Consider the following 27805-nt stretch of genomic DNA (forward strand, 5'->3'; position numbering starts at 1 on the left):
CTCTAATTTTATCTTTTTTAATGGTTGCATTATATTTCATGCTGCAGATATGCCAGAATTCTTTAGCTATACCCAATGGGGGCATTCACTTAGATTCGTTTTTTTGCTGCTATCAATAATGCTCCACTAAACACCCTTGTGCTATATTTTTATATATGAATGCTTCTATTTCTGGGGGCTAGAGTCCCAGGAGGTGGATTGCTAGGTTGAATGCTATATGGATTTTCAGTTTTATAGATGTTGCCAGATTGCTTTCCACAAAGGCTGTGTCACCTCACATTTCTACCAGCCATGTATGAAAGTACCCATTTCCTTCCAGGCATAGGTGCTACTGCTCTTTTAAAATTGTTCCTGTCTTGCTGGGCACGGTGGCTCATACCTGTAATCCCAGCACTTTGGGAGGCCGAGGCAGGTGGATCACCTGAGGTCAGGAGTTCGAGACCAGCCTGGCCAACATGGTGAAACCTAGTCTTTACTAAAAACACAGAAATTAGCTGGGCATGGTGGCGGGCGCCTGTAATCCCAGCTACTTGGGAGGCTGAGGCCAGAGAATTGCTTGAACCCAGCAGGCAGAGGTTGTGGTGAGCCGAGATCGCGCCACTACACTCCAGCCTGGGCGACAAGAGTGAAACTCTGTCTCAAAAAAAAAAACAAAAAAATTGTTCCTGTCTTGATGAATGTAAAGTACATCGTTATTTTAATTTGCATGTCCCTTACTATAGGTGAATTTAACCATTTCATTTGTCATAGTTTGATTGGCTTCTCTCTGATTGCTATTCATATGCTTTGTCCATGTTTCTATTTGGTTATTTGTTCTTTTCCCATCAACTTATAAAAACTCCATGTAAGTATTAATCTTCTAAATGTTATCTTTGTTACAAATTTTTTTCCAATTTTATTTTTTGGCTGTTGAATTTGTGGTCCTCAAACTTTAGCGATGTATCAGAATCATGTGGAAAGCTTATTGAAAACTGGATTGCTGGGCACCACACCCAGTTCCTGGTTCAGTAAGATGGGTGGAAGGCAAGAATTTGCATGTCCAACAAGTTCCCAGGTGATGCTGCTGCCACTGCTGCTGGTCCAGGGACCATAGTGTGGGAATCACTAGTTTTTGCCATATAAAAGTTTAAAATTTGGCCAGGTGTGATGGCTCATGCCTGAAATCCCAGCAGTTTGGGAGGCAGAGGCAGGCAGATCACTTGAGCTCAGGAGTTCGAGACCAGCCTGGGCAACATGGCAAAACCCCTGTCCCTACAAAAAATACAAAAATTAGCCAGGTGAGGTGGTGCGTGCCTGTAATCCCAGTAACTCAGGAGGCTGAGGTGGGAGAATTGCTTGAGCCCGGAGATTGAGGTTTCAGTGAGCTGTGATCGCGCCACTGTACTTCATCCTGTGCAACAGAGCAAGACCATGTCTCAAAAAAAAAAAAAAAAAGTTTAAAATTTCTATATAGTTAAATTTGTCTTTTTCTTTTATAAATAACTTTTGAGGCCAGGCACGGTGGCTCACGCCTATAATCCCAGCACTTTGGGAGGCCGAGGAGGGCGGATCACAAGGTCAGGAGATCGAGACCATCCAGACTAACACAGTGAAACGCCGTCTCTACTAAAAATACAAAAAATTAGCCGGGCATGGTGGTGGGCACCTGTAGTCCCAGCTGCTGGGGAGGCTGAGGCAGGAGAATGGCGTGAACCTGAGAGGTGAAGCTTGCAGTAAGCCGAGATCGCGCCACTGCACTCCAGCCTCGGCGACAGAGTGAGACTCTGTCTCAAAAAATAAATAAATAAATAACTTTTGAACTTCTTGTCTTTTTTTTTTTTTTTTTTGTGACCGAGTTTCGCTCTTGTTGCCCAGGCTGGAGTACAATGGACCAATCTCAGCTCACTGCAACCTCTGCCTCCTGGGTTCAAGTGATTCTCCTGCCTCAGCCTCCCAAGTAGCTGGGATTACAGGCATATGCCACCATGCCTGGGTAATTTTGTATGTTTAGTAGAGATGGGGTTTCTCTGTGTTGGTCAGGCTGGTCTCAAACTCCCAACCTCAGGTGATCCACCCACCTCGGCCTCCCAAAGTGTTGGGATTACAGGCGTGAGCCACTGCGCCCGGCTAAATTTCTTGTCTTAATTTAAAAAAGTATTCTCTGTCTCTATACTGTGTATCTGGTCTCTAAGATTTTATGTTTTACATTTACATTTAAATGTGTAATCATCAGGAATTTATCTTTGTGTATGGCATAAGATAGGAGTCTGTTTTCTTTCAGAGTGTTAACCAGTTGGCCTAGCGCCAAATTATTAAATAATCTCACTTTTTGGATTATTTAATCCAATATTGGATTATTTCAAATCCAATTTTAATTGAAATGTCCTTGCAACCCATTATATACTTCTGTGTCTATGGATTTGCCTATTCTGGATATAATAGGCAAAGCTCAGAAAATTGTATGATTGTGTGATTACACAAAAGTAAAATCATACAATATGATTTTTTTGCGTCTGGCTTCTTTCACTTAGTATGTTTTCAAGATGTATCCATGTTGTAGCATTTATCAGTACTTCATTCTTTTTATAGCTGAATAATATTCCATTATATGGCTATACCACATTTTGTTTATCCAGTTATCAATTGGTCATCATTTAAGTTGTTTCCTTTTGATCATTATGAATAATACTGCTATAAACATTGATATACAAGTTTTTGTGTGGACATATGTTTTCATTTCACTTGGATATATACCTAGGAGTGGAATTGCTGGGCTACATAGTAACTCTATATTTAACTTTTTGAGGAACTGCCAAAGCATTTTCCAGAGTAGCTGCACCATTTTACATTCCCACCAGTGGCAGTGTAAAACACTTGTTATTCTATCCTTTTAATTGTAGTCATGCTGGCCTTGCACTGTGGCTCATACCTGTAATCCCAGCACTGTGGGAGGCTGAGGTGGGCGGATCACTTGAGCTGAGGAGTTCAAGACTAGCCTGGGCAACATGGCGAAACCCCGTCTCTACAAAAAATACAAAAAGTAGCCAGGTGTGGGCCGGGCACGGTGGCTCACGCCTGTAATCCCAGCACTTTGGGAGGCTGAGGCGGGCATATCACGAGGTCAGGAGATTGAGACCATCCTGGCTAACACGGTGAAACCCTGTCTCTACTGAAAATACAAAAGCAAAATTAGCCGGGCATGGTGGCGGGCACCTGTAGTCCCAGCTACTCAGGAGGCTGAGGTGGGAGAATGGTGTGAACCCGGGAGGCGGAGCTTGCAGTGAGCTGAGATCCTGCCACTGCACTCCAGCTTGGGTGACAGAGCAAGATCCTGTCTCAAAAAAAAAAAGTAGCCAGGTGTGGTGGTGCACACCTGTAGTCCCGCTACTGCACTCCAGCCTGGGCAACAGAGCAAGACTCTGTCTCAAAAAATAGAAATAATAATTGTAGCCATCCTAATAGGTATGAAGTGGTATCCCATTGTGGTTTTGATTTGCATTTGAACCTCTTTCATGTACTCATTGGCTATTTGTATATCTTCTTAGAGAGATATCTTTCCAAACCCTTTTTTTTTTTTACTAATTTTTTTAGTGACAGGGTCTCACTCTGTCGCCCAGGCTGGAGTGCAGTGTCAGAATCATAGCTCACTATAATTTTGAACTCCTTTTTGCCCTTTTTTAAACTGGATTATTTATTGAGTTTTAAGAATTGCTAATATTTTAAAAACAGTTTTTCTTAATGTTTCTATTTTGAGTGGGGCATTCAAACTTTTCTGAGCTTTGTTGAACATTATTAGATCTGTGGGCTGAATAATAGTTTCCAGGCAATTAACATTTTTGTTTTTGCTTGTTTTAGAGAGTGACTCAGACATCTCCTCTACAAGTACCTAACCCATCCTGGATGCACCACCATTCATACCTCATGCAGCCTTCAGTGAGTATTCAGAAGTGGGCAGAAGCCAAAGAGGCAATTTGATGTAAAGAAAAAACTGGCTGGGCACTGTGGCTCACGCCTGTAATCCCAGCACTTTGGGAGGCCAAGGCAGGCAAATCACCTGAGGTCAGGAGTTCGAGACCAGCCTGGCCAACATGACAAAACCCTGTCTCTACTAAAAATGCCAAAAATTAGCCAGGTGTAGTGGCGGGTGCCTGTAATCCCAGCTACTCAGGAGGCTGATACAGGAGAATTGCTTAAATTCGGGAGGCAGAGGTTGCAGTGAGCTGAGATCGTGCCATTGCACTCCAGTCTGGGCAATAAGAGTGAAACTCCGTCTCAAAAAAAAAAAAAAGGCCTTTGATGCCAGGAGATGTGGGTGTGAGTTCTGGCTCAGACCCTTGTGCAACCCAGCAGTAAGACCTAAGCTTGTTATTCTTAGACGAGGGTCCTTCCACACTGACAGGCAGAGTTCCTATTCTTGTTGCATAGTTGGGTTGCTGCTCACTTACCATTTCCCAGGATTCTTAAATGTCTGTCTCCAGTGGTCCTGACAGCCACCGATCACTGCTTTAGGCAGCCTCACAGGATGCTGCAGCTAACCCTGTCCTTTGTTGCTGCCTCTAGGGTTCAGTTCTGACACCAGGGATGGACCATCCCATTTCTCTCCAGCCTGCCTCCATGATGGGACCCCTTACCCAGCAACTGGGCCATCTCTCCCTCAGCAGCACAGGCACGGTAAAGCAGGATATTTCTGATTGTAAACTCTCCTACTGAGCAAGGCATACCTGTGTAATACTCTTCAGCGTAAGTAACTTATGAATAATGATGGAATTACTTCAGTGTCATCCGGGGCACACTCAGAACAGGACATAAACTACAATGGTAGTGCTCCATGAGCCAGGAATACAGCCATTCTGCTCCCCAGCCCACCCCTTTTAACTGATTCCTACTCATGCACCTTGTGAATAGTGCTTCTGTCTGCATATTAGTTTAAGATACACACACGTCCTAGGAATCCTCATCAAAATAGTACCTGGAAGGATGGAGGAAGCTCATTAGGTTTCTTTTAGGCCTACTGCATTCCTTTTTGCATAGAAAGGGCTCAAGGGTAGAGAAGGGAGTGTGTTGAGGAAAAGCAGAAGAAAGTCAGGAAAGAGGAGGAAAATAAGTCATATAGGGAGACGTCTCCCTAACAGTGTACTTTAGAACCACCTGAAGTGCTTTTAAGATGCAAATGCTCAGACCAATTAAAATAGAATCTCTGGGGTAGAATACAGGTGTCAGTATTTTTTTTAAAGCCCCTCAGCTGCTTCAAATGTAGCCAAAAATCACTGCTGTAAGCCTGTTGATGTTTCTCTTTCTAGTATATGCCGACGGCTGCAGCTATGCAAGGAGCTTACATCTCCCAGTACACCCCTGTGCCTTCTTCCAGTGTTTCAGTCGAGGTAAGGGTGTTATCATTTCTTTGGATTGAGATTAGGAAAATGAACGGAGGCAGGTTTCCCCCTGATCAAGATCTTTCTCTCACAATGATGCTGATTCTGTGTTCACAAATAGCTGGTAGGTATACGAAGAACGTAGGAAGGATGTGCTCGCTTCGGCAGCATGCATACTAAAATTGGAACAATACAGAGAAGATTATGGCCCCTGTGCAAGGATGACATGCAAATTTGTGAAGCGTTCCATATTTAAAAAAAAAACAACAGCAGATGTAGGAAAGAAGGACTTGGTCTGAGTTCATGAATGAGGCCCTTCCTTACATTTGGCCAGCCAGTAGTTGACACCAGGATGCTGGCTTGTATTGACTAATGCGTCTTGGGAAGAGGACAGGCTGTAGGAAGGTTGGGGAAGTGGTGGTGTGGGTGGAAACACTCACACATGAGTGTGGAGAGTGGGTAGGTTTGGGAGGGCACTCGATGTAGGGTGGGCTTTGGTCAGGCTGCTGTAGTGGAGGTGAGGAAAGGAATGCGCAAGATGACCCCCCTCCTTGGCTATGGCACAGGAGAGCAGCGGCCAACAGAACCAAGTGGCAGTGGACGCACCCTCAGAGCATGGGGTCTATTCTTTCCAGTTCAACAAGTAACAGTGGGTAAGAACCACATGCTGGGGGGCAGGGAGGGCTGCACTGGCAGACAGCAGCTCAGCCCGGCCTGAAGTCAGACAGGTTCTCATGTTTGTCTTGTCTCCTCTCTGGCTTGTGCCTTCTTTAGGATTCCCCTCCCCATCTTTACTGAATAGAAATGAATTCTTGGAGATACTCATGCTCCCAGATTCCAGAGGGTTAACCAGGAATGGAGACCATCCGTCGGCCCTGCTAAGGACTAACACTTAGCCATCGTTTTTCACAGGCCTGGGCCTGGAAAAAGAAATCTCTACGTTCCTGCCCTTTACTATTGCTGATGGAGCCTGGGGGAACCATCACTTTTTTTGTGTGCTACATTCAAGGAGATCAAAAAAACTTTTCTTCTTTTGCAAAGAAAGCTTTTTGTTTTTAACTGCAACGTACTTTTCCCCTACCTTGAAGAGACATGGTGGTCGCAGCTTCTCATCTATATGAAAAAGTTTTCGATGTATTGGAATTATTTGGGAATGCTTTTAAAACAATTTGTAATTATTTCTTTACAAACCAAAACAGAACAGAAAGGTGTGGTGCTGGAACATCGATGAAGGAGCCCTACTTACTGAGCTTAGTTATGGACTTTTTTGATGCATGTGTGTATGTGTTTTAAAAAGTATGCAGGCTCTAAAAATGTTATTTTGTAAAGCTCTCAGCTCATGCACCCCATCTCCTCTTCACCCATATTATGCCTTCTTTCTCTTGTCCAGATTCTTCTTTTTCTCTTTTCTAAACAGCTGAGCCTGCCTACTTTGCCCTTTTACAGCTTTTAATTTTATGGATTTTTAAAAATGAAATTTCATGTGGAATTTGGGGTTGGGGGGCAGGCTGGGCAAGGAACAAGGCAGAACACTAAGTAGGCCATGGAAGTGGCTGTTCTTTCCCCCACCCTGCCACACCCTGGGAGAAAAAACTAGACTTTGGCTTCAGAAAGCACAGATGTGACCCAGGCTTACTAAAGAGACAACTCCACAGCCCTGGGAACACACCCTTGAGCCAAACTTGGTTGAAGACTAGGTCTTCCCTGGCAAGTTCCGGAAGAATGGACTTACTGACTTTTATCAACTCTTCTCACTGCCAAGGCCAACAGCATCTGAGGTATAGCTTTTTGGGAGTACCTGCTTTCTTGCCTCCTGGAGGATATTTTCTGTCCTGGGCTTCATGGCCCCTCTCTTCCCTGTTACACATTGCTGTGCTCAGAGCCTTTGCAGCTGCGACCTAGTTGAATCCACATAGGCTCCTTCCACACGGTGGAAGATCTGCTGCTTCACTCACAGACCAGGAGTTCTCAATCAGAGGTGGTTTTGTCCCTCAGGCCTTTGGCAACATCTAGAGACAGTTTTGATTGCCACGCCTGGAGGTGGGATGTGTGTGCTACTGGCATCTAGTGGCTGCTAAACATCCTACACTGCATAGGATAGTCCCCACTACCCCCAGCCAAGAATTATCTGACTCCAGGGGTCAATATTGCCAAGACTGGGAAACACTGATATAGACAGTGTTGTCCCTGCCTCCTGGGTTAGGGTAAATTTTCACCCCAACCCTGGACAAACAGTGCCTTTTGACACTCATGCAACTGTTGGGGAAGGACTGGACTGGGATCCTTGAATTCTCCCCAGACTTTGACTTTTGATAACTCTGCATATAGCAAGAGTGATTCTTGAAAGAGCTGTGGCTCCATGCTGAATGCACACATGTACTCAGAGGGATTCAGGTGGGCATTGTTCTGGTGTGTGCTGTGCAATGGTGGGAAAGGACAAAGCTCTCTAAACTGTCCAGAGCAACCTGCCCTGCCCCGGTGTGCTTGGACCCTTTGCCCAGGGAACCAGGACATCAGAAATAATGTTCCTTCTGTGGAAGGACAACGGGGAGCTAGGGTAGCAAAGAGCAATAAATTCCAACTCTTTATGAGGTCAGGAGTCCTTTAAAAAAGCCTATGTCTTGGTCTTTAACTGTCCCCTTCTGCAAGATGTGACTCTATACACATGGAGACAGATTGAAGAAAGACTTCACCCATCTTCTAGGAAATAAAATCCTGCTCTTGTCTTCTCCCAGTCACTCCCTTATGCACTGAAAGGAGAATTTGACTCCCTTGCACTTCAAGGCCAGGTGCCTCTCCACTAGACAGTCAGACAAAGGCAAATAATGGAGGATAGAGAGACAGGTGTTCATTAGGCTGGCCATAGGGAGAGGAAGGGGGTGACAGCAGGGGAAAAGAAACTGTAGTATCAGTTGTCACAAGTAGAGCTCGGCCCAGCTTTCCCTCCCTTCCCAGCCACCCTAGAATTGAGAGTCCCAGTGCCCCTAGTGTCGACTTTCTATGTACATCCTAGGGGTGAGGGAGTGCGGGGCAATGGGTAGGATATAAAGCGTAAAGGACAAATTGCCGCAGTCTTCTAATTGATGCTTCCAAACTCAGGAAGGGCTTATCCAGTGTAAAATAGCCCCAAGCCCAGCAACCTTCTAGAGGGCTCTGGCTGGGCAGATAGCTTTTGTTTTTGAGTCTCCAGCCCTCAGTCAAGGAAAATATACCATAGCTGCTTTCTTGTCAGTGGCCTTTGAGAGAAAGAGAAAACAAATCTAGAATTCTGTTCATCTGATAGACCGGGGGAGCTTTGCTATGGTAGGAGGTTTAGGAAGGGCCTTTCACGCATAGAAACCATTGTTGATATTGCCACTCCCCTCTCCTCTGCCTCACAGAACTCCTGATTCTGTCTTCTTTCTCTCTCTATATATATATTTTAAAATGTTTAAATGGCTCTAATTTTTTGTTTTGAATTTTGAATTTACCTTTTGGAGTTCTTCTCATGTGAATCTACTTGTTAGATTGTATTAATGAGTGTTTCTGGTTTGGGCATGGGAAGTGATGGGGGCCTGAAGTTATTTTGCAGTGGCTAATGGCACTGAGGAATTTCTTTTTTGGTGCATTTGGTTTACACTCATTTCCTCTCCTAATTGTTAGTTCATTTGTAACAGTGGGTGAGTGTTTGGAGGAAAGGAGGGAGAAGAAAGGAGGGATACTGTTTCTCCCATGAAATAGTCTAATTGGTTGGGTTGATGGCAGAAGGAAACATAGGGGAGCCTTCCAGCTCACAGCCAAGGGTTGGGCTCTTAAACACTATGCCTAGTGTTTTCTGAATGCTGTCTTCATGGAGCCCAGCTCTTACTCTCTTTGTACTTTACATCTCACCCCCACTCATTACAGATGCTCATAACATTCTTAAAATATTTTAGTACTTGGCATTTTTCTGTTTTCAGTCAGCTAGAACACACTAGAGTCCTTTCCTCAGATGGCATAATCCTTTATAGGCTCTGAGCCTGCCTAGCCATCTCCTATCGGTGTTATTACTCCTCATCTCAGGCTCTGAGATGATACTCAGACCCTAAACTGATTGGACTTTTTGGAGGAGGGTGCCAGTAGAGAGGTCAGGAAGATGTGGAGATGATGATGGAGAGAGATGTTTTTATTTTATTTTATTTTTTCAGACAGAGTCTTGCTCTGTCGCCCAGGCTGGAGTGCAATGGCACGATCTCGGCTCACTGCAACCTCCGCCTCCCAGGTTCAAGCAATTCTCCTGCCTCAGCCTCCCATGTAGCTGGGATTACAGGCACCCACCACCATGCCCGGCTAATTTTTTTATTTTTAGTAGAGATGGGGTTTCACCATGTTGGCCAGGCTGGTCTCGAACTCCTGACCTCAGGTGATCTGCCCGCCTTAGCCTCCCAAAGTGCTGGGATTACAGGCGTGAGCCACCGCGCCCGGCCTTTATTTTATTTTTTAGAGATGGTCTTGCTGTGTCACCCAGGCTGGAGTGCAGTGATGCAGTCGTAGTCTACTACAGTCTTGAATTCCTGGGCCCAAGGGTTCTTCCCACCTAAGCCTCCCAAGTAGCTGGAAGTACAGGCACATACTACCAAGCCCAGTTCGTTATTTTAAGTTTTTGTAGAGACAGGGGTCTTACTATGTTGCCCAGACTGGTCTTGAACTCCTGTCAAGTGAGCCTCCCACCTCAGCCTCCCAAAGTGCTATGATTACAGGTGTGAGCCTCCATGCTTGGATGAGATGTTGTTTTTAATGTTTTTGGTTTTTTGGTTTTGTTGTTTTGTTTTTTTGAGACAGGGTCTCACTCTGTGGCCCAGGCTGGAGTGCAGTGGCACCATAATGGCTCACTGCAGCCTCGACCTCCCAAGGCTCAGGTGATCCTCTTGCCTCAGCCACCCCTTCCCCGGCCACCAAGTAGCTGGGACTATGGGCTTGTGCCACCATGCCTGGCTAATTTTTTTATTTTTAGTAGAGATGGGGTTTTACCACGTTGGCCAGGCTAGTGTCCAACTCCTGACCTCCAAACAGCTAATTTTTGTATTTTTAATAGAGACAGGTTTTCGCCATGTTGCCCAGCCTCGTCTCGAACTCCTGGGCTCAAATGATCCACCCACCTCGGCCTCCCAAAGTGCTGGGATTATAGGCATGAGCCACCACACCTGGCCTTTTCAGTTTTTTTATTTTTATTTTTTCTTTGAGACGGAGTCTCGCTCTGTCGCCCAGGCTGGAGTGCAGTGGCGTGATCTTGGCTCACTGAAACCTCCATCTCCTGGGTTCAAGCAGTTCTCCTGCCTCAGCCTCCTGAGTAGCTGGGATTACAGGTGCCTGCCACCATGCCTGGCTAATTTTTGTATTTTTAGTAGAGACAGGGTTTTGCCACATTGCCCAGGCTGGTGTTGAACTCCTGGGCTCAAATGATCCACCTGCCTTGGCCTCCCAAAGTGCTGGGATTACAGGCGTGAGCCACTGCACCCGGCCCTTTGTAGTGTTTTTAACTAAAGAATTTGTAGAGTTGCCCAGGCCAGGAAGCCTGGTGGCTCTAAAGGGTAATAGACCTTGTCAGTAACAGATAAGGAGTGGTAAGAGGACATTACTCATATTGAAGATGAAGACCAGACTTTGCTGCTTCACAGGCCATGCGCTGGGTTGGGCCACTTCAGCTCCACTCCATTCGTTTTCCTTTCCTAACTTGACAATCAGCTCACTCACCCTCCCTTAGTGCCTCCAGTGCCTACTCCTGTCACTCCAATGTCAACCCATTGGGAGTTGAGGCCTGTCACTCCAATGTCAACCCGTGGGCTGTTACTTTGCGTCATATGATGCTGTGAGAGGCCTTGCTGGAATGTCCTAGGAATCCCTAGTAGCAGTGGCTATTAGTCTTCTAGAAAAGAACTATTGCTGCTGCCTTGTGCACATGCCCCACCTTCTGGGCAAGTGGCAGCATTGCGCTCATGAGGGGCTTTGCATTCTTAGCCAAGGGCAATAAACTGGGTGGGTGATCTGGCCCAAACTTGCCCCTAGGCTCTGCTAGCCCTGAATCAGCAGGCTTCAGAGACGAGGGTGGGTGTTATAAAAGCCAGTCTGTAAAGGGTAAATTCCAAATCTTGTGCCTTGTTATACCAATCCTTCCTGATTCCCGTTTAAACCAACTACTCTATTTCTGTGCTGCCTACATTTTCAATCCTCCCACGCATTAGCAAATTCCTGAAATTTCCTCATTTGGTAGGCCTTCCATAGGAGTCAGCTATGGACTTCCATAGGAGTTGGCAGCTAAAACCAGACTGTGAGCTTCTGTCTCCGTTCTGATTTTTGCTGCACCTCCCAGGGGACAGTCCCCACATGATTACAAAAGCCAGGTGCCCTCATCACCCGTTACCCCTGACCTGTCCACTTGTTTTGAATAAACCTTCATTCTCCAAGCAGATCCCCAAACTTCCTTGTCCTTGTTACACGTCTACCTCACAACCTCACAATTCAACAACAGGTAAATACCTGGATTCACTGATTTCTTTACTGTCCTTCTCTGAGGGTTGGGAAGGTGGGGGCTAGAAAAGGCTCATAATTTTTAAACTCTTGGGAATTAAACTTGGGAATTTCTATTCCTACAGTGTTTTCTCTGGGATTTTTAGCTCACTGATCGCCCTAGAATAGTGTGAACTCTCCAGATAGGTCCTGCTGTGATAGGCCAGGGGAGTAGGCTGTGCAGTGACGGCTTAGGGTAATAAGTAATGGTTGGAGGACACCAGCATAGGAGCAGAGTTTAGAACTTAAGAGGACAAGAAAGCTGCTCAGTGGCTGGCGTATAGCTGTGAAGGTAACCAAACACCAAAGAGGGAGTCTGTCATTTTTATAAGGCTGGAAGCGAATGTTCCTTTTCTACCTTAACATACAGTTTAGGGGGTTGCACCAAGACAAAGTTTCCAGGCTGGAGGGTAATACATATCCAGCGCGAGTGAAGTCCCCACTCCAACATATACCCTTTTTGGGTGGGTAAACACCTCTTTGCATGTGGACAGAAAATGTTTATACTTAAACAGACATATTTTGCATATTTTTATCTGGAGACTTCTTCTAGTTTTATACTCTTCCCACATCTATGCCAATGCCACCATTCTAAAACTTACACTCCTTTTCTACCCCTGGTCTTTTCCTTGTCCTTCCCTACAACTTGGTAGAGGTCCATTTTGTCTTACTTCACACTTTTTTTTTTTTAAATAAAACACAAAAGTCTACGTCTTGGTGTCTTATCCGTGAGTGGGAAGTGGTAAGCTGGTGATGGTCCCATATTTGCTATGACAGGAACACAGAGGTGGCAGCTTAGGAAGCTGGGGCCACATCTCACAAGGCAGGACCTGGATGCACTGAATCCCCCTTTGCTCCAGCAACTCAGCCAGACATTTAGGCAGGAGCACTAATGACCCTTTCCATCCACACAGAGGGTATGGAACAGGAGCCCCTGTTGTTCCCTTGCCTGTGGTCTCTTAAGCCAGTCATACCTATCCCAACGCCGTCTCCCCCTCAGGTGTGTAGAAGGGAAGATGAATACACAGAGTCTTTTGAATCTCTATCAAATGTGGTTTTTTTTATTCAACAACTGACAAGCACTTTTCTACAGCTGCACTTGTGGAACATCACATGGCAAAAACAGGAGTTTTTTCGCTAGACTTTTTTTTTCTTTTTAACCTTATTAAAAATGAGATTGGTCCTAAAAATATAGAAAGAAATAAATTTAAATTCACAAAAAACTGTACATTATCAAAAAGTCACTAAAACACCACATTTGGTTATATAAAAAGTCCCTTTTGCTGTAAAAGGAACACAGAAACTTGTTGGTGTTGATGGTGTGGTTTCTTCCTGTCAACCAGACTGATGGGAGGGAAGCAAAAGGGCAGGGGGTGGGTTGTCTTTTTATTTTAAACCTGCTTTCCCTACCAAATACTCTTGTCATGAAGAGAAAATCCACCTAGCTCAAGGGGGCAGTGAAGATGAGGAAAGAAAAGCAAGAAATGGCCCCTTTGATCATGCCCTATCCCTACCACCCCCAACCCCGCTCCAGCCCCCACTTCTTCAAACTGAGGCTAGGACCCCACCCCGCCATATGAGTGCCTGGTCCCTAGGGAAAGAGATGGAGCTGGGAGAGGAACACAAAGCAGGAACCATGGAGATTTCACTCCCCCATCCACCTCACAATTTCACTCCCCCATCCACCTCACAATGAAATTAATCTAGCACATCTTATACCAGGGGAAAATTGCCAGGGGGAAAAAGCAGAGCCCCCAACTCTAACAGTTTCAACTGTCTAACACAAAGTTTGTTACAGCGCAGTTATTTAGATAAAATATAAATATTTATGCATAATATAAAGTCAATTCAAATATTCTTCAATCCACCTCTTAAAAGCAAAAAAAAATCTCAAATAAAATTAAAAGTTTTGAGGTTTATCTGACAGAAAAGGCGACTTTAGAAATAGGCTATGAGGGAGAAGGGGCATAAAGGAATAAAGGGGCTGCCCCAGGACCTACACTGCCCCTACCCCCTTCAGTGGCTCTTCAGTGCTGCCAGAATACAAGGAATGCTCCACCTCACCTGGCACCCCCACCCCCCAATGGAACATTTCTTGGATGCCTCAGCTCTCTGCTTGGGCCAGCCAGCAGCCACCTCCCCAGTGCAAGTACCCGTAATCTCTGAAGGGAGGGGCTCTGCTGAGCAGGAAAAGCAGGGGGCCAAGTGCCCATGGCTATAGCTGGGAGTCAGCAGCTTTCCTCTCGTGTTGGGGGCTTAACTTGGACATAGTCACATGTAGGGCAGTGATGGACCCAGAACCCCTCCTCCCTACTCTCCTGTGCTCCAGGGTCTCTGCTGCTGGGGAAGGGGTCCTGGGGTATGAAGTAAATGAAGAAAAGCACAACTAAATGGGATTAGGAAATGATCCAGTTCTACCACTCTCCCGTAGAAGCTTAAGATTCAAAGCTACCGAGAAGAGAGGGAGTTCCTGCTGAAAGATTGCACAGTCTGAAGAGGCTGGAACAAAAATGACCAGGAGAGAGACACAGCCTTGTCTCCAGAGAAATTGTTCCTGTGGTTTCCCAAAGACAAAAAAGTGATGGTTTTAAACAATGGGAAAAATGGGAATGAAAACAGGTACTTGGGGAAACTGAATGGATCCTATCAAACAATACAGGGTCACAAGCACGCACACACACACACACACACAGCGCGCGCTCTGAGGCTGACACACACACACACACACACAGCGCGCTCTGAGGCCGACACACACACACACACACACACACACACACACACACAGCGCTCTCTCTGAGGCCGGCCCCATTGCTACCTGGCCTCCATCTTAGGGTGCACCCAAACTCAGCAGTAGTTGTCCCTGAGGAGTTCCCAAGAGGGTTTGGGAAGGAGGTGGGGAAGGAGGCTGGAAGGCCCAGGAAGCCTCCCTGCCCTCTCCCCAGCTACTGAGTTTCAGAAAAGGCTGGAAACTCAGCATGTGAGGAGCATCCAACATCATACAGGGGATAGCTATCGGCAGGAAGATGGGGACAGAAGACAGGGACCTCTGAACATTTTTTTTTCCTTTGAAGGGAAAAGATTTGGGAGAAGAGAAAAGGAGGGAGGAACCCGTACACGATAGTTTTACATTATTGGATGAGAGAAAATCTGAAAACTGGGGGGTGGGAGGTGGGAAAAGAAAGACAGCGAGAAGCAGGGAAGGGACTGAACATGGAAGCAGCATGTCCAGGGCCCGGTGTCCGGCGCGACACACTTGGGAGTTAAGTCCACTTTACTGGCCGTCACTGCGGGTCCGCACACAGTACAGAGTGTTTCTTGGTTTCACACATTCACTAGAACTATTGCTATTGTTAAATAACCCCAGAATGCTGGGGCACGTACAGGGGAGGAGAGGAAGCAGGGAGGAGGAAGTAGGGACGACTTTCCCCCTCCCCATTTTTAATTAGCAAATAAAACAGAAAAGAAAAATTATTTTTTTCTTTCTTTTTTTGGCTTTTAGTCCAGAAGGACCTCATCTCTGCACCTCTTACTTGAGGAGCAAGAGGAGGGAAGGGAGAAAGGGATGTAGGAATAAGAGGATGTGGGGCACTGCCAAGGGCAAGGTCAAAAATCAGGGTTGTATCTGACTTGAGTCTGGACCCAGGGCAGCATCAGCAGGTGAAAATGGCAGGTTTTTGTTTGGAAGGTGGGGGGAGATGCCACAAGGTGACTCCCCACCTCCCTTGCCTCACAGATTGGCCTGTTTTCCCTGATAAAACTCCTCCCAGCGGCTCTCGAAGAAGCGGCGCATGATGTGCCCAGCCTTGCCTACTTCAGAGTCATCCTCGTTGAAAGTCTGGCAGTTGTCAAATACCAGGAGGGCATCAGCCGCAAACTCCTCTGAGCTGGTGTACCTGGACAGGGCAGGGGCAAAACTGTGAGCTGGGTAGGAGTTGCAGCAGTAGCAAAGACCGGGCGGTTCACCCACATCTACTTACCCTCCCCTGAGCAGCCGCTCCCGCATGGTGGAAAAATCCATAGGATTTTTGATGATGCGCCGGTACCCACTCACCAAACGTGGGTTCACAGGCTCTAGGAAAGGCCAGGCTGCATCATGGGACTCCATCTCCATCAGGATAATCCTATCATTAGAGGGACAATGATGGCTCCATCTCAGGAAGCAAATATACTGACCCCTCCCAGCCCTTTCCTCTGGCAGAGGTAGAGCCAACTGTCCCCCCAGGATTCACTCAACTCACTCGCAAAATGTGAGATCACTGTGGTGGTTCCGCATAGAGAGTCGCCGCCGCTTGGAGGGGGAGAGCCCTTCTTCCGAGTACCGAGGCCCTGCTGCTGGGCTTTCTCGGCCCCTCAACAGTACCCGGCGTCGGCGGCCATCACCCTCTGAGAAGTTCAGCGAATAACCACTTTTCCGCTTCTGGCCACGCTTTGGGAAACCAGGCTTCTGAGTGAATTCTCCCTCCACCTGCTTAGTATAGGAAACAGGTGAGATTAGCAACAGCTGGAGATGCACTGCTTGCCCTACTACAATCTCTGCCTAAATATGATTTAAGGCTTCAAAATACTATCATGCATAAGCCGGCATTGGTTTATTCACATAACCCAATGAAGTAGGTAAAAGGGAAGGTATAGTTATTCTCATTTTATAGAGACAGCAATTAAAGCTATAGAATTTAAGTGACTTGTCCAAAAAAGGACTTAGAACCCAGGTCCCCTAATACCCAGTCTAGGACTCTTTCCAAGGAGAGGAGAGATTGAGGATAATCTCTGATTTCTGTTTGAGTGTGGGAAAGAAAGAGCAGAAGCCTTACCTGAGCCAAACAGACAGTACAGAACCAATCTCCTTCTGGGACAGCCTCCATCTTGGGACGATGGCAGTAAATGTGGCAGCCACGGTCACACCCATCACAAAGCAGAAGAAACTCATCATTGTCACCCTTCCGGCAGACTAGACATGTCTGGACCAAGGTTGTGAGGAGGCAGAATGAGCTCTCCAGCCTCTACCTGCCAGTGACCCCACCCCGCCCCTGCTGGCTGGCCCCTCAGCCTCTCCAGGCTCTCTCAGCCTCTTACCACTTTGTTGACAGACTTCTCCCAGGCAATGGACCTCTCCAGCTGGCCCAGGCACAAGCACACCTGGGCTGCGCTCCGGCACCGCTCGAGGGTCTGGCGCCAGACACGAATGCGAGGGGTGATCTCATATGATCTGGAGGGAGAAAGTGGTGATCTTTGGAGAAGGAGCGGATCCACTAAAGAGGGAACTTATCCCTTTCTCTCCAAGACCAAGAATGGAGGGTGGGAGTCACTCACATCTCTGTAGTGGTGCCCTCAGGGGCACCATTAGGTGTGCTAAGCAGGGCCTTCTCCAGCACAACCTCATGAGTTGGCCAGAGGGGCTCCCGCAGGTACCGCCGTTCTACATTCTGTTCCAGGGCAGCCAGCCGCATCACAGCCAGGTCCAAAGGGTTGGTAGTTTTACGCTGAGGTGCCAGTCCCTCCCTGCCCCGACCTCGCCAGGTGATATCCTCCTGGGAGTCGGAGAGGTGCTCACAGTAGGCCAAGTCTTCACGGGTAGAGTCTGGGCTAGGACATGTCCAGCCCTTCAGTTAAGAGAGAGGAATAAAACTCACTGTAAAAGGAGGAAAATTTGGCATAGGAAAAAAAAAAACAAAAACAAGACCCACTTAAGGTAGGTCACCTGTGAAGTAGGGACCCAGGGTTTTTTCTAACAGGGCATAAGGGACTAATGCTTTTCCCCAACCTTCCTACACAGTGCCAATCCCAGCATACCCGAATCTGCAGATCAGACATGATAACCCGCTGCTCCAGCTCCTCTACCCATTGAAGCACTGCTAGGTCTGTCTCGTATGTCTTCTCTTTGGGGGACCAGCTCATAATCCCTTCTTGAAAGGCAGGTAGTTGCCTGGGCTCAAAGATGGGGTCTGAGAAGAGAGGTGGCAGAGGGAGAGGCCCATCAGGCTGTTGTCCCTAGCAGCAGCTCAATGCTTATCCTGGGCTCTTCAGCTCAAGCTGGGTGTAGGAATGTATTTACCAGCTGAGGGCCGCAGGCAGACTTCCTGCAAGAAGTCCCTGTGCTTGTTAAGGTGTTTGTGAAGTGCCTTCTCCCGGATACCTCGGGGGTGTAGGGCCTTGAGCATGGCATCCAACATCTCAGGATCTCGTATCCACCACCAGCCTGAGCACATCTCTGTGAGCAGATGAGATATATGTGGGGCGCCAGCTGTGAAGCACTGCCCACACCGGATGCCCTCACTCCAAGGTCACTCACCAGGTGGGACAGGCTGGGCTGTCAGCTGGGTTAGGTAACGCTGTTCCATCTGTTTGAAGAACTTACTGGGAGGTCTCCCTCTCCGTTTGGGCTGTCCCAGCCCTGTGGGACTCTGTGGCATTTCTCCAGGGTCTCCTGCTCGCCTCTTAGGGGCCAACCCAGCCAAGGGCGTGGAAGAGAACTGCACTGGAGAACAAGGGTTGGCAGCACTAGGTCTATTCATCTGTGAATAAAATGAGACATAAGGAAATGAGGATGTTTTCATGTTTATAGGTTCCCTCAACTTCAGGCAGCAGCTCCACACCCAGGCAATGGTGCCTGTGGCAAGATGAAATCAAGTGCATACTACTAATTCTGGCTACTTACTGGCTTGGAGGAGGCAAGCTGCTGAGGGGAGGGAGTGGGTTGGTCCTCAGAAACTGCAGGGGGCGGTGTGGGGGCAGCATTGCAGGGCATCTGGGCTGAGATGTTAAACCAGAGTGCTTGAGGATCAGGGCTGGATTCTGCCTCATCAGGCTCTGGCTCCTCCGGGGGTTGTGATGGAGCTGGGTCTAGTTTTCCCGGACTGCTATCAGGTGTGAGGACTGAGCTGCTCAACAGGGAGCTATGGCTCTGAGTCTGGCTCAGCCAAGACAGGAAGGCTGACTGGCTGAGGTCATGCTGGCTCTGACCCAGTGACAAAGGGGAGCCTTCTTGCTCCAGGAACCCCTTATGGGACTGAAGCTGAAGCTGAAGCTGAGGCTGGGGCTGGGCAGGAGCATGAAGCTGAGCCTCAGGCTGAAGCTGGGCCTGGGGCTGTTCTGAATCCTGACCCCTGACAGGGGACTTAAGATGCCTAGGTTGCATAGACCCGGGCTTAGTTTTTCGAGGTCGGCCTCGGGCCCGGGCAGGAGAACTGGCAGTGGTGTTGGAGCCAGCTAACTCCATCTTCATAGAGAAGAGGGCAGGGTTGAGTGACGCATGGGCTGCCACTTTTAAGGAGTCAGTTTCCTTCTTTATCACCTCCTCAGGAACTGTAAAGAGAAGTAAAGAGTTAAGCCATATGCTGACATACAAGGGAAAAGTAAGAGGGTATATAAACTTAGGACCTATACTTTCTTTTTCTCTTGGACTTAGTCCCCCTTTTTTGAGATTCCACTGGGAAGAGCTTATATGCCAATGAACACAGTATCTGGGGAAGAAACACTATTCTCCCAAGTAATCAGCAGCAGCAGCACAATCATAAGCTAACATTTATTGCGAAACAACTACGGGTTAAGTATTATTCTAAGAGACTTAACTCATTTTAATCCTCTCAGTAGCCTTATGAAGTACATACACTATTATTATCTCAACTTCACAAATGAAGAAACAGAATCATACAGCTGGAAATGGCAGAGCAGGTGGGTAGGCAGCTTTACTCTAAAATCTGTGCTCTTAACCATTACGCTATATTATCAGAAAATGAAAGAAGCCCAAGACTACTAAGGAAAAGGAATTATTTAATTCTTGTTTGATAGGACTCAGAATCCACACTCCCACAGGCACACCTACCTAAGTTCCCCTCTGTTCCTTCTACAAAGATACCAGCCAAATACGGCAATACCCAGTAGCGACGTCTGTAGCGGTCCTGACCCAGGGAGACCGCCCGAAGCATCTGGGATGAGTGAAGCAGCTTTTTGCGAAAGAAAAGCTGACGCTGGGTAGACAATGAAAATGAAGATGAATAAACACATTTCCAGAGTGACAGTGGTGAATTCATCCAGTATATCAGAGAAAGGCAATGGCTCTCAGTCCCTCTATAAAAGTGATGCCATCTGGGCCTAATTCAGAAGGTGATTAAGTTTGGGAGCGGTGGCTCACGCCTGTAATCCCAGCACTTTGGGAGGCCAAGGCAGGTGGATTGCTAGAGCCCAGGAGTTCAGAACCAGCCTTGGTAACATATGGAAACTGTCTCTACAAAAACACAAAAATTAGCCAGGCATGGTGGCTCCTGCCTGTAGTCCCAGCTACTTGGGAGAATCACCTAAGCCCAGGAGGCTGAGGCTGCAGTGAGCCATGATCGTGCCACTGCACTCCAGCCTGGGTAACAGAAACCCCATCTCAAAAGAATAAAAATTAAAATTCAGTTTAAAAAAGAAGCTGATCAATTCTTGCCCAGCCCATATCTCCAACTCTTGGGAGGTTAGAAGCACAATACCTTGCTGAGTTTTTCTATCTGGCGCTCTAGCTCTGGGATGCTAGATGCTGTGGCATCAACCTAGGGAGAAACACATGGGCATTATGAAAAAGGAGGTTATCAGATTCAAGAAAGAGGAATTTATTTTCTAACTCCCACTTTCCTTGATCTTGGGCCAGTACCTCTCCATCTCTTCGACCCCTGCGGCCAGGGACAGCTGCTATAGACTCCTCTTCTTCCTCTTCTTCCATGCCACTGGTCTCCTCCATGATCCGAGAACTGCGCCTCCGTCCCAGGCATTCCTCTGGCCCTTCCATCTCTACTTCAGACCGCCCAGTTCGCTTGGCCAGAACAGTTTTCAGCCTTGAAATAGATGGAGAAAGATTAAGGGAAGGCCAAGTGTGGTGGCTCACACCTGTAATTCCAGCACTTTGGGAGGCCAAGACAGGCGGATCACCTGAGGTCAGGAGTTCGAGACCAGCCTGGCCAACATGGTGAAACCCTGTCTCTACTAAAAATACAAAAATCAGCCAGGTGTGGTGGCATGGGCCTGTAATCCCAGCTACTTGGGAGGCTGAGGCAGAAGAATCGCTTGAACCTGGGAGGCGGAGGTGGCAGTGAGCCAAGATTGCGCTATCGCATTCCAGCCTAGGCGACAGAGGAAGACTCCATCTCAAAAAAAAAAAATTACGGGAAACTGGTGAGGAACATGATAGTGCCACAAAAGAAATACCTTGACTCTAAACCATCCTGGGCCCTGGTAAGGTCCCAAACCCAGGGAAGGGGCTAAAGCATCACATTTCAAGCCAAAACCCTGGCTATGCTTCACCCGCCCCACTTCTCTCCTCTCTGAGGCTCTACTCTCTGTCTGGTCCCTACCTCCGGAGCCGGCCTTCAACAATCCACTTGTTTTTCCTGTAGCTGGACATACTCTCCAGAGTCTTGTCAATCTCACTGCAGGGGAATAGGGAATAGGATGAAGTGGCAGCACAAAAAAAGGGAAAGGAGGCTCAAGGGTAAAGGGGCTGCAGCTGAAAAAGGAGTTCCAGCCTAGAACCCAGATTGGGTGAATGGCAGAAGGCTTAGGCTCTCCCAGGGAGGGCACTGCAATTCAGTCCCAAGTCATTCCAGCATCTTCAGAACATGGCAGTGAACACACATTTCTGAGGACTTCTGGAAGGCTACAAGTCCTCCACCCCATTCTGATGCAAGGGATACAATGACCATCCCCACTCCCAGCCTCTCACTTGATGATGAGGGTGGAGCCATTGAGCTCATGCACAAGGAAGGCCAGGACAGCAGCCTTCTGCTGGGGTGGCTGGGCCTGAAAAGGCTGGGTGCGCAGGCGGTCACAGAGGGCTGGCTCTACTCCATATGCCATAAGGAAGCAGCGCAGGATCTCTGACACATTGTCTCTTGTCAGTGGGATCTCAGACACCTTCTCCCCCAAGATCTTTAGGGACTGTGTGGAGGACAGCATAATGGGGGTGAGTAGGGAAAGATGCACAACCAAGTTGGGTGAATGTGCAAGAGGAAAATACATCAGAAGAGAACTATGGGGGTTAAGACAGAATACGAAAGAAGACCACAAAAGAAAAGGAAAAAATAAAGAAAAATAAAATAAGGAGAGGAGTCAGGAAGAAAAAGAAATGGAAAAATATAAGGAAAAGAGAAACACTAAGTAGTTACATCTCCTTTACTTGTCCTGGTTACTTTGGGAGGGACTTGCACTCACCTGACAGTAGGAGGGAAAGCCAGGATCATGGAGTGCAGCCTTCAGCAGCCTGACCAGCAGGTCTTGCACCTCACCCAAGCTGTCACCTTGACACAGGAGTCCCTCCTGCAGGACCCCCAGGCTAGGCACATCTTTGGCAGGATCAAAGCCCAGCACCTTGCCAAAGCTATGCAGGAACTCCACAATGGTCAAGCAGTCTGAGAAGGCTCCACTGGGCAATGTCAGACCAGGGACTCGTGAGAAGTCAGGCAGGGGCTAGAGAGAGAAAAGTGAGTAGAGAGTTCTGTTAAACATAACAGAAGATGACAATTTGCATGTCTACAAGAGGTTCTTCCTTTAATTTTTATGTAATTTTTTTTTTTTTTTTGAGATAGGGTCTCACTCTGTCACCCAAGCTGGAGTGCAGTGGCATGATCTCTGCTTACTGCAGCCTCGACCTCCTAAGCCCAAGCAATTCTCCCACCTCAGTCTCTCAAATAGCTGGGACTACAGGTACATGCCACCACACCCAGCTAATTTTCGTATTTTTTGTAGAGATGAGGTCTCGCCATGTTGCCCAGGCTGGTCTTGAACTGCTGGGCTCAAGCGATCTGCCCGCCTCGGCCTCCCAAAGTGCTGGGATTACAGTGTGAGCCATGGCACCCGGCCTTCCTTTAATCTTTAATGGAAATGTCTCTCCCATTGCAGAAGTCCTTTTTTTTTTTTTAAAGGAAAGTCTTCCCAGCTGACCCAGGAACTGTTACTCTCTCCTCACTACCTGGTGGTCAGTCAGACACATATCCTCTGTCGGCTTCTTCATTTCCTCCAAGATCATCTGCTGCCTCTGCCGTTCCTCCAAGCGCCTCTGTGTGGCCAGGGTCTTATCTGCTTTACAGGCTGGCTTGGCTTTGGTCACCTCCTCCTTTTCCTTCATTTTTACCTTCTCCTTCTTTTCCCTCTTGACTTTTTCCTTCAGTTTTTCCTGCTTTGTCTTTCCTTTTTCTTTCTCAGCCTACCCAAGGAAGAGAGGAACCAAGACTGCCATAAAGATATCAGTCACTATCCTTCCCTGGTCCCAGTCCTCCCAACCTCACAGCCCAGAAATCTCACTATAAAACAAGACTGATGTACATGTCCTGCAAAATCAGTTTAGTGGCTTCGAAATTATACTTGGCAAGTTTGTACATGCACCTACCTTGGATTTCTTCTTAGCTTCCTTCTGCTTTAAGCTCTTGGTCTCTTGTTTCCGCTTATTTCTGGCCTGTAAACCATAAGGGAAGTCATTTCTCCTCAAACTCTGAAAGCATCTCTGCTTGGGCTAGGATTCAAAAACAGACAAGGGTGCTGGGGAGGAGAGGTGAGAGATGGAATGAGGGGTTGGCAATGGATTAATTCTCTCACCCTAGAGATGCCCACGTTATTTTTGAACAAACCCAATTCTCTAAATCAAGTGCAAGAAATTTCAGGGTAATGAAGATATGCTGCTACACAGGGAGTGACGGATGTGGGAAATGAAAATAAAAGATGAAGTAAGTTGTAGGAAAAATTAACCTACTGTTTCATCTCTCTGATGTCCCTCACCTGCCCTTGGATAGTAGTCTGACACTCTCCCCGTTGAACCTTCTGCCTCATCTTCTTCTTGCTTTTAGCAATCTTTGCTTTATCCTCCTCATTCAATGTTTCTGTGAGAGCAGAAAGAAAAATGAAACAAGTGAGGCAGGAAGGCAGTTCTCTAGCATCCAGGGCAACACATGCCCGTCTCAAAGCTGGCCTCCCAAGCAGCTCCCTGAAGAATCTAGAGTAGCTTTTTTTTTTTTTAAGTATACATAATAAAACATTGGGGGAAAAAATGTAGGAGAGGCACCTGCTATGGGGGTGGCACAAAGAACTCAAATGACATCTCCTGCCCAGAAGCACCAGCCCCTGGCTCCAATCAGACTGCTTTAGAAGGTGTCCTGCTGATAGAAAAGAGGCCACAATGGCAGAGTAGCCTTGGAGCCAATCTCTCTCCCAGGATACCTGACAAGAGCAGAAACCCACGGACTGATTTTAGAGCAGAAAGCAGAGAAAGGATACAGCAAGCCAAACTGCCAGGGAAAGAGGGTAGTAGTTAGAAGCACTGATTAACCAAGGGTGTGCCAGAAAAAAGGCCCACACAGTGGACACCTCAAAAGAATCACTGACATAGTTATTGATCATGCTCAGCTCCATGTCTTGCTTCACTAAAAGTTCTGAATTTCTTCCTTTCGGGAAGACTTGTGGAAGTATAATTCTGCAAACAAGAGTATTTCATAATTGATGTTTCTGACATGACTATATATACATATATATATTTTTTGACACGGAGTCTCACTCTGTCGCCCAGGCTGAAGTGCAATGGCACAATCTCGGCTCACTGCAATCTCCACCTCCCAGGTTCAAGCGATTCTCCTGCCTCAGCCACCCCAGTAGCTGGGACTACAGGCGCGTGCCACCACGCCCAGTTAATTTTTAGTATTTTTAGTACAAGCGGAGTTTCACCGTTTTAGCCATGACGGTCTTGATTGCCTGACCTCATGATCCGCTGGTCTCAGCCTCTCAAAGAGCTGGGATTACAGCCGTGAGCCACCGTGCCTGGCCCTGACATGACAATATTTATTATTTTGTTTCTGGTATAGAAACGCCACCACATGTCTACGTGACAACCCTCTAAGACAGATATTATGGGCAGATGAACTACCTAAGGCTTTGATTAAAATATGAGACTTAGCTGGGTGCAGTGGCTCACACCTGTAATCCCAGCACTTTGGGAGGCTGAAGCAGGCGGATCACCTGAGGTCAGGAGTTCGAGACCAGCCTGACCAACATGGAGAAACCCCATCTCTACTAAAAATACAAAATTAGCTGGGCGTGGTGGCATATGCCTGTAATCCCAGCTACTCTGGAGGCTGAGGCAGGAGAATCGCTTAAACCTGGGAGGTTGCGGTGAGCCAAGATCGCGCCATTGCACTCCAGCCTGGGCAACAAGAGCAAAACTCCATCTGGAAAAAAAAAAAAAAAGGGCCAGGCGTGGGGGCTACACCTGTAATCCCAGCACTTTGAGAGGTCGAGGTGGGCGGATCACGAGGTCAGGAGATCGAGACCATCCTGGCTAACATGGTGAAACCCCGTCTCTACTAAAAATACAAAAAATTAGCCAGGTGTGGTGGCGTGCACCTGTAGTCCCAGCTACTCGGGAGGCCGAGGCAGGAGAATGGGGTGAATCCAGGAGGCAGAGCTTGTAGTGAGCCAAGATCGTGCCACTGCACTCCATCCTGGGTGACAGAGTAAGACTCTGTCTCAAAAAAAAAAAAACAAAATGAGACTTGTTCTAGGTCATTTGGTTGAAACATGACACGGCTAGATGTCTGAGTGAAAATCAAAAGACTAAGTTTTTTCACATTCTTCACACTACACCAGGGTAAACACACTATTTACTGAAAAATGTAGGTATTTCTCACCTGTCCATCCACTAAAACAGTGCCTATTATTATTATTATATTATTATTATTATTTTGAGATGGAGTTTCACTCTTGTTGCCCAGGCTGGAGTGCAATGGTGTGATCTCAGCTCACTGCAACCTCTGCCTCCTGGGTTCAAGCCATTCTCCTGCCTCAGCCTCCCGAGTAGCTGGGATTACAGGCATGCGCCACCATGCCTGGCTAATTTTGTATTTATAGTAGAGACAGGGTTTCTTCATGTTGGTCAGGCTGGTCTTGAACTCCCGACCTCAGGTGATCTGCCCTCCTCAGTCTCCCAAAGTGGTGGGATTACAGGCGTGAGCCACCGTGCCTGGCTTTTTTTTTTTTTTTTTTTTTTTTTGAGACAGAGTCTAGCTCTATCACCAAGCTGGAGTGCAGTGGCGCAATCTCAGCTTACTGAAACCTCCACCTCCCAGGTTCAAGCTATTCTCCTGCCTCAGCCTCCCAAGTAGGTGGGACTACAGGCACACACCACCACGCCCAGCTAATTTTTTGTTTTGTATTTTTAGTAGAGACGGGGTTTTACCATGTTCGCCAGGATGGTCTCAATCTCTTGACCTCACGATCCGCCCGCCTTGGCCTTCCGAAGTGCTGGGATTACAGGTGTGAGACACTGTGCCCGGCCTATTATTTTTTTTAGAAACAGGGCCTTGCTCTGTTGCCCAGGTTGGAATGCAATAACACAACTGAAGTTTACTGTAGCCTCCAAACTCCTGGGCTCAAGTGATCCTCTGCTGCCTGCCTCAGCCTCCTGGGTAACTGGGATTATTAAGCACACACCACCATGCCTGGCTCCCAATTATCTTTTGAATTCAGATGTGAATTCTGAACCTCCATGATAGTAGAAATGGGTAAGGTAAAAGGGTACAACTGAACCAGTATATGATAAGGAGCTAAAAGATGGAAAGAAAGGGCAAGAAAGTCCTCTCCTCTGGGCTAAACACACCTGGGGGCAGCCCAAGGTTTCACTGGTAACAGCAACTCAAGAAAGACCATGGCTGGAAAAGTAGTATTCCCAAGCGCTGGGACTAGGATGCTGGATTCCAAGGAGAAGCTGATTCAGATTCATTCTTCCCAGATAATGTTAGTTACACTCCTGGGAAATCCAGGTATTAGCAATTCATCAACATTTTAGATACCTCATGGAGGGAGCAGAATCCCAAAGTAAGAAATACCACTGTACCTTGGGCCTCCAGTTTCTTTAGGGGGCGGTTGTCTGTCTTGTTCAATAGCTCAGTGATTTTGACCTTAGGTGGCCGACCTCGACCCCGTTTCACCTTGGGGACTTCCTTAGTCTTAGCCTTCTCAGTGTTTCGAGGTCGACCCCGTTTGCCAGTAATTGCCTGAATCCTCGACGGGATCTCCTCTGCTGAGAGCTGCACCCACTGCAAGCCCTAAGGTAGCAAGGGAGACTGTTACAGTAGTAAGGAATCAGTGCAGGCCACGAGGCCCTCGGAACCATTCAATGCCCCAGAACCTTCAAACCCCACGAGAGGAAGCTGCAGCTTGTCCACCAACTCTTCCTCAGGGACAAAAGCATATTTAACCCTTGGGTCTGCACCTCTGGCGTGTCTCTTTCTTCAAAGAAATCTCCAACAGGCATACGGGGACTGAAGCTGAAGTGCTCTCGGCGGACACTGTGTACCACGTTGCGGCTCAGGTACTAAGAGGAAGAAGTAAAGTAACATTAATAAAGTTGGATCCTACCATGTCTTTGGCCAGCAAAGGCATAAGCAGAACAGGCCCAGAGCAGACAATGCCAGCCTGTTGTCACTGAGCCCAAGAACGGAGTCTTGGGCAGTGGAAAGGAGTCCACTGAGCCCAAGAAAGCAGTCCTTTAAAAAAAGCTACATTACCTTGATCACTTCTGGAAATTGCTTCATCCTCTTCCCACAGGGGCCATAATACCAGGTCTCCCCCTGCCATCGGTGGCTGCCCTTCTTGATGCGCACCTCTCTCCGCCACCTGCCAGAGAAGCACATGGGCCCTGCCGCCAGGTCACACCCCTACCCACTCCCATGCCACCTAAGCGCGAAGCCCTCTGAGCAGATGGCCCTCCCCACATTTGTATCTCTAGAACTGCATGCAGATGCAAAAGCACCAAGAGAGATAAGCTTGGCTAGAAGGCTGACTTGAGCTCCAGCAAATACATCAAGGCCCTTAGGAGAAAAGCACTACACCAAACTGCACAAGCTCAGAGAGATCTCCATCCCTCCTTTACAAAATCAGTGAGATAAGCTGCCAGAAACCCCTCCCTGAGCCATTCA

General features: G+C 47.5%; 2 protein-coding genes and 1 pseudogene across 53 annotated transcripts in view; 2 read left to right on the forward strand and 1 right to left on the reverse strand.

Annotated features, from left to right (window-relative positions):
* Positions 1-13179, forward strand: part of RBMS2 (RNA binding motif single stranded interacting protein 2) — a 75789-nt gene extending 62610 nt beyond the window's left edge. For 6 of the 14 annotated variants that reach the window (XM_024449115.2, XM_047429297.1, XM_006719541.5 and 3 more), the window contains 5 exons: positions 3835-3912; positions 4540-4645; positions 5280-5360; positions 5918-6004; positions 6264-12586. In XM_024449115.2, coding sequence (XP_024304883.1) covers positions 3835-3912; positions 4540-4645; positions 5280-5360; positions 5918-6004; positions 6264-6472 — 561 coding nt within the window. In that variant the 3' untranslated portion in view covers positions 6473-12586. Of the gene's footprint in view, positions 1-3834; positions 3913-4539; positions 4651-5279; positions 5361-5917; positions 6005-6125 lie in introns of all 14 variants that reach the window. The other 8 variants (NM_002898.4, NM_001414461.1, XM_005269059.6 and 5 more) reach the window with 8 other exon arrangements.
* RNU6-343P (RNA, U6 small nuclear 343, pseudogene) lies at positions 5504-5607 on the forward strand (annotated as a pseudogene).
* BAZ2A (bromodomain adjacent to zinc finger domain 2A) overlaps positions 12582-27805 on the reverse strand; it is a 42723-nt gene continuing 27499 nt past the window's right edge. For 17 of the 39 annotated variants that reach the window (XM_047428148.1, XM_047428145.1, XM_047428139.1 and 14 more), the window contains 22 exons: positions 27395-27503; positions 27100-27201; positions 26722-26932; positions 23619-23719; positions 23233-23298; positions 22816-23049; positions 22059-22313; positions 21571-21785; positions 21203-21277; positions 20506-20686; positions 20345-20404; positions 19699-19843; positions 18532-19178; positions 18166-18388; positions 17929-18084; positions 17667-17818; positions 17187-17476; positions 16950-17103; positions 16688-16834; positions 16115-16344; positions 15854-15997; positions 14598-15769 (listed from right to left, as the gene is read on the reverse strand). In XM_047428148.1, coding sequence (XP_047284104.1) covers positions 15604-15769; positions 15854-15997; positions 16115-16344; positions 16688-16834; positions 16950-17103; positions 17187-17476; positions 17667-17818; positions 17929-18084; positions 18166-18388; positions 18532-19178; positions 19699-19843; positions 20345-20404; positions 20506-20686; positions 21203-21277; positions 21571-21785; positions 22059-22313; positions 22816-23049; positions 23233-23298; positions 23619-23719; positions 26722-26932; positions 27100-27201; positions 27395-27503 — 4063 coding nt within the window. In that variant the 3' untranslated portion in view covers positions 14598-15603. Of the gene's footprint in view, positions 15770-15853; positions 15998-16114; positions 16345-16687; positions 16835-16949; positions 17104-17186; positions 17477-17666; positions 17819-17928; positions 18085-18165; positions 18389-18531; positions 19179-19698; positions 19844-20344; positions 20405-20505; positions 20687-21202; positions 21278-21570; positions 21786-22058; positions 22314-22815; positions 23050-23232; positions 23299-23618; positions 23720-23901; positions 24415-26721; positions 26933-27099; positions 27202-27394; positions 27526-27805 lie in introns of those variants that run through there. The other 22 variants (XM_047428142.1, XM_047428151.1, XM_047428164.1 and 19 more) reach the window with 7 other exon arrangements.

This window comes from Homo sapiens, chromosome 12 (genome assembly GCF_000001405.40).
Source record: "Homo sapiens chromosome 12, GRCh38.p14 Primary Assembly".
NCBI classification, from domain to species: Eukaryota; Metazoa; Chordata; class Mammalia; order Primates; family Hominidae; genus Homo; species Homo sapiens.